The sequence below is a fragment of the Homo sapiens genome, chromosome 13 (assembly GCF_000001405.40).
Source record: "Homo sapiens chromosome 13, GRCh38.p14 Primary Assembly".
NCBI lineage: Eukaryota > Metazoa > Chordata > Mammalia > Primates > Hominidae > Homo > Homo sapiens.
This window is the reverse complement of record NC_000013.11, coordinates 106,532,170-106,541,198: the sequence shown is the minus strand read 5'-3', so window position 1 is coordinate 106,541,198 and position 9,029 is coordinate 106,532,170. Positions and strand designations below refer to the sequence as shown.

Below are 9,029 nucleotides of genomic sequence, written 5' to 3'. Positions count from 1 at the left end.
TGAGGCTCTCCTCCCCCTCCAGGAGAGCCTTGTGAACAAGTACTAGTGTTACTAATCAGAGGACCTCAAGAGACTGCTGAAGGTAAAAGCCTCAACCTGGAAGTCTAGAATGAGTGTGGAAGCCCAAGCAATAGACCCTACTTTTTTGATCTGTTGAATTGCCATTTAACAGTGGTCTTGATTCTTTCACTATCTTTGTTGTCTGTAACGTTTTTTGTTTACTCTTGCGTTGTTTTTGGCTTTTAACATTCAGTTGTCCGTGATGATGGAAAATGTGGTGCAGTAATCTAGAAGATTTGCATTTGCTGATAAACTACACTGTTTACTTTGTAGATATGCTTAAGATGAGTGGATTGTATTACCTAATCCATCCATCCATCCATCCATCCATCCATCCATCCATCCAGTATTGGTTCTAGAGTAACTGATTTAGTGCTGGCAAACAGTGGAAGTGGGGGATACAGAAGACCTAATTAAGGGATTTGCGTGTGTGAGAGAAATAACTAGCTTCTTACTCCATTAAGTATTTCTTTGGAACTTCCTTCTGGTATTACAAAGTAATACAAATCAGAGTGGTTGCTTTTACATCTATGTAAGTGTTCCACAAGTTAAGTGCTTTTATACCTAAGTCGTCATTGGGTTTAGAAATTAAAACTTAATTGGAAGTCATACTTGATGATTTATCTTTTTCTGAGCCTACAGTGGTTGATCAGAGGATGTTGGGACAGTTCTATTTTTATATTTTTATTTTTTGCTCTAGCTCTAAAGAGCCAGTACATTAGAGAATAGTAACTCCAGTGATCCAGCTGTTTCTCTCATTGTTTTTGTATCAATGCTATAAAAGTGTATTTGTTTTGTTTTTTTGCCCCCCCCCCCCCACCCCCGCCAATGGTCTCTTGCTCTGTCGCCAGCCTGGAGTGCAATGGTGTAATCTTGGCTCTGTGCAACCTCCCACCTCCCAGGTTCAAGCGATTCTCCTGCCTCAGCCTCCTGAGTAGCTGGGATTACAGGCACCCACCAGCACGCCTGGCTAATTTTTATATTTTTAGTAGAAACGGGGTTTCACTATGTTGACCAGGATGGTCTCAATCTCCTGACCTCGTGATCCGCTCACCTCGACCTCCCAAAGTGTTGGGATTACAGGCGTGAGCCACCGCGCCCGGCCAAAGGCGTATGTTTTTAATAGTGTATGTTTTGTGATTGCTGCAACTGTTGATTACCAAACCTAGGCTTATTAGGGTTAGAATAAAATGGGTTTGTTTACCATTTGGATGATTCTCATTTTCTAGGTTTTCACTTTGGATTAAAGAAGTGACAAGTAGAATAAGGAGTTAACAAAATAATACATTATTGCAGCTGGTTTTAAGTGCTGTTGAAGCTGTTAAGTAGTATAAAGAGGATGCAAAAAATGATTTTATGGACCCAAAAGAGGAGATCCGTTACGATTGTTGTCAGAAGTTTTCCTTATGTTTATTAAGAGTAGTATTTAACTTTTAAATTTTCATGTATGTCTGTATCAAATCAGTCTGAAAAAACATCCTGTTGATAGAGGTTAAATATTAGAATTAATCATGCAATCAAGAGAGCGCACAGCTAGCTAGCCATTATCTGCTCCTTTGTATCCATCACACCTCTTAATCCAGCTTGGAATGATGAGTGGAGTTTGGTCCTCCACACTTGGTTTGCAAATAAAGAGATGAAGTTTCATGCCAGGTGTGCATGCTTGTTGGAGCCATTCGTATTTCCATGTGTGCTGTTTTTACATTAATAATGCTGTCAACGAAATGAGAGGTTGAGCTTCAGATTAAAATGGATACTAGTGGAAAATACGGTAATTTTCTTCCATAAGGAATATGTGACAGTCTATAAGGTATGAGTTTCCTCTAAACTTCCCAGAGAGAAGAATGATTCTCTTTTGACCAAGAGCCTAATGTAGTATTTTTCCTGCCAAACAAATAGACTCTAATATAAAATGTTTCAGTGTTTTAACAATCTGAATTTCAGAAGCAGATGGGAGAAGGGTGTTTAGCAAAGTTGATTTTAAGAAAGGGTTTTATTTTCTCCTGTCAGATCTTTCCCTCAAGGATAAATGGGGGAAAATGTGATTTGCTAGAGAGTGCTGAAAGCATCAGTGACTTGTATGAAATAAACAGCATACAATGCCAGGAAACAAAGGGTATGATTTTGCGAGAGGCTTACAAGCTACATAGAGAATGTATGGCTTGGACAACACTTAGTCAACACATACCAAATTTATTTTTCTGTAATGTTATTTAGATAACCTTTTGTTTTTGTAGAAGTTCTGTTACATATATCTTTTGAAATATGTCCTAGAAATGATGGAATACTATATAAGGAATATATAAGAAACAACCATAAGTTCTAAAGCCCAAAACATGCCTAGGAATTCAAAGGGGTAGGAACATAATTACTTGCATTTTTTTTGTTGGAGGTGGGGAATTGCACTTTTTTAAAGCTGCGATTATCTATTTGTCATCTCATTTTACATTTATTCAGCTTTGTGTTAACTTTTATAACTATGGTATCCTTTGAAATTCCCAAATCCTTATTTATTTGACTTATCAGAACTTTTTTTTTTTTTTTTTTTTTTGAGACTGAGTCTCACTCTGCCGCCCAGGCTGGAGTGCAGTGGCGTGAACTCGGCTTCACTGCAAGCTCCGCCACCTGGGTTCACGCCATTCTCCTGTCTCAGCCTCCCGAGTAGCTGGGACTACAGGCGCCCGACACACGCCCGGATAATTTTTTATATTTTTAGTAGAGACTGGGTTTCACCGTGTTAGTGAGGATGGTCTCAATCTCCTTACCTCGTGACCCGCCCACCTCGGCCTCCCAAAGTGATGGGATTACAGGCGTGAGCCACTGCGCCCGGCCTTCAAAACTTAAGTCTAGAACACAGTGAAGTAACTTCCTCTGCTGAAATAAAATCTCATTTGATGAGGGTTTAAATACATCTGCTAAAAGTATAGATTTCTCGAAATACATTGATCATGATTCAAAGTGTGGTAAAGAAAAAAATTAACCAAGTTTTCCCAATAATTGTAAAATGAAGTCCAAATACCAAGAGATACGACACTGATGTGATTGGTTCTTGGTTTGGCATGCTTTGGAAATTCTACTTTGCCTTGTGCATGCCAGTATGACCTACTTTTTTGCTGGCATGTTATACAATAGTAGATACAAATGGCTTTGAGGTGATGCTTTTAATTACCAAAATTACCATTAAATAGTAGAATGTTGACATCTTCGAAGTGAGTACTGCTGATGCTTTTCACATTGTCTACATTGAATCTCTGTTGACTGAAACTAAGCTGTATATTCTCTCACACTATAGATGTTTTGTGTGTGTGTAGGATTCCTTTTCAGTCAAATACGCACTTTGTTTTGAAAAGGAAGCGATTTTAAAGTGTATATTTACATTTGTCCCAAGGTAAAACGCTTTGGATGTGAGACTTTCTGATTTACTGAAAATGTTATTTTTGGAAGCTGGCTTATTTTCAGACAATGCAAATTTCCTGTATTTCCTCTAGTTTACTTGGAGAGGAGGATGTAGTGAGCTAAGAGGTCACAATTTAAATTTCACAATATAAGTTTGTCAAAAGGTACTGAGTACCCAGTGTTCTTTTAAAAGATCATTAAGCTAACTTTATATTCAATTTCAATGAGTTCCTTAAATGGTATTTTAGCATACTAAAAACTAGCCCTTTCTCACCCTTGTCAAGGTAGGAGTCATAGTGCCTGCTGCTTCCTGGGTTGTTGGTGCTTCCTGGGAATCCGCTGTTCAAATCGTCATACCGTGGTGGAGCCTTTTTAAAATAAATTTTATATATATATGTGTGTGTGTGCATATATATATGTGTATATATATACGTATATATGTGTGTGTATATATATACGTACATATGTGTATATATGTATAAATATGTGTATATGTGTGTATACGTATATGTGTGTATATATATATTTAGTTTGAAGGCTTATTTAAAATGAAAATAAATTATGAAACTTTTCTGCTCTCAAAGATCTGTTTGGAAGAGTAAGTGTATTCAGTACTTTGTATGCCTTAATGTGTTTTCTATCTTAAACTAGTCTTCACAAGCTTTTACCACTCCAACTGAGATGTATACGTTAAGTTAGACTAATGTTTCAAAAACGGATACTTAAAAGCAACGTACCATAAAAATCTTCAGAAATTGTTACAAAGAAGAGTGAAAGAAAACAAGGTGTTTTACCATATGCATTTTTAAATTTAGCGTAGTGGATACTTTGTTTTAAAAATACATAATTTGTAGAATTACTGCCCAGTTTGTGTTTGAAACATAAATCCTGGGGTGGACGGCATTAAATTGAAAAAAAACGTGGGCATACAGTATATTTTAATTTTTCATACTGAATCGTACATTTGCACTGTGCCTTATTTCTACCGTGTTCTTCCTACTGTTGGACATATAAAAAGATTTTCCTTGGAACTGTGACTTGATTAGATGCTGCAGTATGCTGGATCCGGGTCGGTGGACCGCAGAGCGCTCGAGATGCGGAGAAGCAAAGCTGGCCGCTAGTGGGCGCTGTGGCTCCGTGGAAGTCACGGACGAGCGTCAGCACCGGCGCTCGACCGGGAAAGTAGCGAGGAGTTCCTGCCAGCTCTGCTCTGGGGTCTTGCAGACGCCGAGTGAGAAGCACATGCCTTGACTTTTCCATCTCACACCCTCTAAATCTCTGGTCACTTTGGGAAGCGCGCGTGTCTCCTAGAGGCTAGTGAGACGGTCCCCGCGTCGTGCCTGTGCCGGCGACACGCGGGGAAAGCTCCAGGGGCGCCACCTTCCCGGGGGGCCAGGAGGGAAGGGAGACGCCCGCAGAGAAGGCGGGAGGCGACGATGCTCAGGCCCTGATTAGAGCTGCAAATTCCGGCGCCGCGTCGCAGGAATCGTCTTGCAATTCCCGGCCCCACTGACTGAAACTGAGCCGTAGGCGATTGGTACCAAAATCAAGTGAGAAGCCCTCGCCGAGAGGCGTCGGGAGAAGCGCGCAGAAGCCGGGAGCTCTAAGGGTGCGCGCGGAGTGCAAGTCTTGCACGCGGGGCAGCGCCGCATCTGCGGAGAAGGGACGCCGAGCGGAGCCTGCTGCCTTCCGCACTGCTCGAGGGAAAGCCGCGCCCTCTGATTCCGCCGAGGGGGAAGGCGCCCCCGGGCGCGGAGACAGGTGGCCCGCTACTCGGCCGTCGCTGTTTCCACGTCTGCACCGCGCCCAGAAGGCCTCTCGCCGCCCCGGGGGCGCCCTGTGCACGCGCTGAGCGCTTCTCCTGCCCGGCTTCTGCTCCGCTCCCGCCGCCCGCGGGAGCCAGGGGCGGGGCTCACCTGTCAGCCCGAGCCCCGCCTCGCGGCACCCAATGTCGGGAGGGGATGGCGGACGGACGGACCGGCCGTCCAACCAGCGCGCGGCCGCGGAGCCGCGGGCCAATGGGCTTCGCGCGGCGGGGCGGGGCCCCGCGTTTATAGCGCTCTGACAGCGCGGCGGCCGCGCTGACTCTCCTCGGCGGGGACCGCGGCGCCGGCCGGAGCGAGGAGCTGCGCACGCAGCGGGTCCCGGCGCCCTCCCCGCACACAAAGGCCCGCGCGCGTCCGGAGCCCGCGGCGGGGACCGAGCTCCCTCTTTCCTGCCCTGGGGGCCGGGAGCCGCGCGGACTGAGAAGGCTCCTGCGCGCCCGGAGGCGCCCTACTCCGCTCCGTGCTCCGGGACATGGAACCGCGCCGACGCGGCGCCCGCGCGCTCGGGCCGCTGCCCGCTGCACTGGATCTATAGTCACAGGCGGCCCCGCTCGGGGCGCAGCGCCCGCCGCCCGCGCCGGTCGTCTCCGCTCCGGGTCTTTGTGTCCCAGCCCGCACCCGCCCCGCGCCCACCCGCCAGCCGCGGCCGGCCCGGCACCCTGGAGCCGCACGGGAGTCGGCCGTCCGAGCTGCGTCCGGCGCGGCGCCCCGGAACCCCGAGTCCGCCGCGCCGCCGCGCCCCGCGCGTGCGCTCCCGCCCCGCGCCCTGAGGGCCCCGGAGAGCGAGCGCACCTGGCCCGGCGACCGCTGGAGCTGCGCAGCGCGCCTCGGAGCTGCCTGCGGGCGCACGCCGTCTTCCCCGCCAGTCTGCCCCGGAGGATTGGGGGTCCCAGCCTGCGTCCCGTCAGTCCCTTCTTGGCCCGGAGTGCGCGGAGCTGGGAGTGGCTTCGCCATGGCTGTGAGAAGGGACTCCGTGTGGAAGTACTGCTGGGGTGTTTTGATGGTTTTATGCAGAACTGCGATTTCCAAATCGATAGTTTTAGAGCCTATCTATTGGAATTCCTCGAACTCCAAGTAAGTGGCGTCCGCGATCCCCCTATGTCCCCGCCCCGGGGTCCGCCGCGCCGTCCGGGCGGGAGGAGGGGTCAGTCCGCGGGGCCTCGGAGCCTGTTTCTGGAACCTCGGTTCCCCGTCCCCCACCCCCAACCCCCGCCCCATTTCACTAGGTGGAGACTCCTCGCTCGGCTTTCCAACCCGAGCCCCGCTGGAACGGACGGTCTCTCCGCCTTTCCTCCCCCGAACGCTCCCAGGCGCTAAAAGCTACTATCGGCTCGGGTGTCAAGTCCGGGAAGGTGTCCGATGGCGATACCTGACCCTCTCCTGTTTTCGAGGACGAAGGACATGGCCACAATCTAGGCTGGCCGGCACGCGGGGACTGGTGGGCTCTGGAGAGAGGCGGAGATGCTGCATTCGCGGGGAGCGCGGGCGGCGTGGTCCGGGGCCCGCGGGCGGGCGACCGGGGTGGCAGGACGCTGGCAGCGAAGCGCGTTCTGGAGAGGGGAGCCTGGAGTCGCTACGCTGCCCGCAGAGCCCTGGAGCCGGGGCGCCTTGGCACCGCGCCGCCAGCCCGAGGGTGCGCGGGGAGCTCGCCTGCTTCGCAGGAGAACTCGGGCGTCGAGCCCTTTCCTCCGCGCCGGGGAGACGGGCCTTAGGCTTCTCCCTGAGGGCCCGCCGCACCTCGGCCTCCCGCTTCGTTCATAAGCCGGTAGCCCCGGAGTATGCGGTCTCGATGGCCGACCTGATTGTAATGCACTTCCTATAAAAGCTTAGGGCCCTGCCCAGTCGACACTGCTCCTGAAGCCTTCTCCCTCGGGACCCTGGTAGGAATGGGATCCTTAGGATCAGATTTGCTCTTACCGGACTCTACAGCCGGGAGCGAGCCAGGCCTTGTGGAGAGTAACTTTCAGTTTGGGCCACCAGAGTGCATTCAGAATTTAGAAAATCCCATCCATCCCTAAATCTGTGTGGTCATAACTCGTAGTCATCTGGGTATTCAGTACTGTGTATCCCCTTATTTCGAATCACAGCCAAAACATATTTTACAGAATCTTGGAATTGTAGTCTCGGGAAACTTGGAGAAGAAGTATGCAGACATTAGCTGGTTTCTGGAGAAAACGTTTGAGATCAGAAGCAAAATCAATGGCCTAATTGAAGTTGAGCAAGTTGGGCCTGGTTTTAGGAGAAAAGAAATGGGGGATTGATTTAGAAATCACGTCTTAAAGGAGTGTGTCCATTCTCTTAAAAGTGTCAAATTTCAAATTCACTAACATGTTAACCAAGAATCCCTTCATGAAAAGGGCGAAAACGTCGGTTACAAATCGGTTTAAACAAATGTTTGTATGATGCTAGAAGGCACTTTCAACACCGCTCATACGGAGAAGTTACTTAGCTCTGCCTCCTTCCATGTAGTCTGCTCTTGCATGGATTATATTTTTAATGTAAATTGTTGTATTTGCTGATGAAGTACTGGCGGCGGCATCTTTGCATCGATGCCGGCTCGGGAGGCGCCAGGTGGTGCCGGAAGGAGCCGGGCTAGGACCTCGCGCAGCAGCGGGTCCCGGAGTCCGGGAGAGGCGGGCGGGCGGGCGAGGCGGTCGCGGGGAGCCCGCGGCGCCGCTGCCCGCCCGGTGCCTCCAGAGGTCACTCTTCCATGCGGAATCGCGCAGCGCCAGGCCTCGCCCCTCCCCCAGGCCGCCTGCTCCAGCCACTCTGCACTTTCACTGACCGGTTCTCTTTGAGGCTGTTTTTTTTTTTCTTATGAGGATTTAATATTTCTGTTTAAATCTAGTTGAAAGCAATTCCGTTAGCCTCTTCAGCGTTTAGTTCGGTGTGTGTATCTTTATCTTTGCGCTATATTAACTATTAGTTTGTGTGTATCCGGTAGGAGAATTAGAAATACCTAGTTGGGAGAAAAAGAAAAGTAGAACAATAGTTATTTCAACCTAAGGTTTAGACGTTAATAACTTCTTTTTGTAATGTGTCGAGATGGGGGGTCCTGGGGGGAGGTGACAGGTACTCACCACTCCCCCCCCCCATTCTGATGATGAAGATGAGTCTGTCTTTCCAGCTATGTCCAGACCTGCGAGGGCCCTGCGTTTCTGGAAGCCTGCCGTTTGCGCGGTTGAGGTTGCTGCTGCTGTCTTGTCCTCCACAGCAGCATTTCTTTTAAAATTCTCCTGATAACGGCCTGCCTGGATGACTGGATAATGTGTGCCTGGAAAAGGTCTCCCTTGCAGCTGAATGCTAGCTCCAGAGATCAGAAAGATTTCTTCCTGTAGGAGCCATAGGAAAGAGTCCTCTCTAAGTTTTTGAGAATGCATACAACCCCCTGATGACAGGGGGTCGCTTTCCTTGGGGAAGTTTTATATTTATTTCCAGAGGAAAGTTTGAATCGGTAAATATGATGTGGCAGGAAGGTAATCAAATGCATTGAAGTTTCACATCAGTTCCTATGAACTGTGGAACAATTCATTTGTAATGAAGCCGCCATCAGTAATTAGATTTGTTTCATTCAGAGGTCAGCTTTTTTAGCAGGTGGTCGACACAGGGAGCATGCAGCAGCTGTTTGGATACAGGGTCCAGAAAACCCTTTGTAAATTCAGCGTCTCCGTAACTACTTTAATCACATTGTCGGCTCTCCCGTCCCTGACTGTATGTAATAATGGAAAGATGTCCTGCGTGCTGAAA

General features: G+C 48.9%; 1 protein-coding gene across 4 annotated transcripts in view, besides 4 other annotated features; it reads left to right on the top strand.

Annotated features, from left to right (window-relative positions):
* Positions 4,440-4,509: an enhancer, noted in NCBI's record as "active region_7982". NCBI's record gives its function as "activates an Ori minimal core promoter by ATAC-STARR-seq in GM12878 lymphoblastoid cells {active_cell/tissue: GM12878}" and the evidence as "EXISTENCE:reporter gene assay evidence [ECO:0000049][PMID:35858748]".
* Positions 5,090-5,749: a silencer, noted in NCBI's record as "silent region_5491". NCBI's record gives its function as "represses an Ori minimal core promoter by ATAC-STARR-seq in GM12878 lymphoblastoid cells {active_cell/tissue: GM12878}" and the evidence as "EXISTENCE:reporter gene assay evidence [ECO:0000049][PMID:35858748]".
* Positions 5,537-9,029, top strand: part of EFNB2 (ephrin B2) — a 45,918-nt gene continuing 42,425 nt past the window's right edge. For all 4 annotated transcript variants that reach the window (NM_001372056.1, NM_001372057.1, NM_004093.4 and 1 more), the window contains exon 1: positions 5,537-6,356. In NM_001372056.1, coding sequence (NP_001358985.1) covers positions 6,235-6,356 — 122 coding nt within the window. In that variant the 5' untranslated portion in view covers positions 5,537-6,234. The remainder of the gene's footprint in view (positions 6,357-9,029) is intronic.
* Positions 7,879-7,978: a silencer, noted in NCBI's record as "silent region_5490". NCBI's record gives its function as "represses an Ori minimal core promoter by ATAC-STARR-seq in GM12878 lymphoblastoid cells {active_cell/tissue: GM12878}" and the evidence as "EXISTENCE:reporter gene assay evidence [ECO:0000049][PMID:35858748]".
* Positions 8,039-8,098: a silencer, noted in NCBI's record as "silent region_5489". NCBI's record gives its function as "represses an Ori minimal core promoter by ATAC-STARR-seq in GM12878 lymphoblastoid cells {active_cell/tissue: GM12878}" and the evidence as "EXISTENCE:reporter gene assay evidence [ECO:0000049][PMID:35858748]".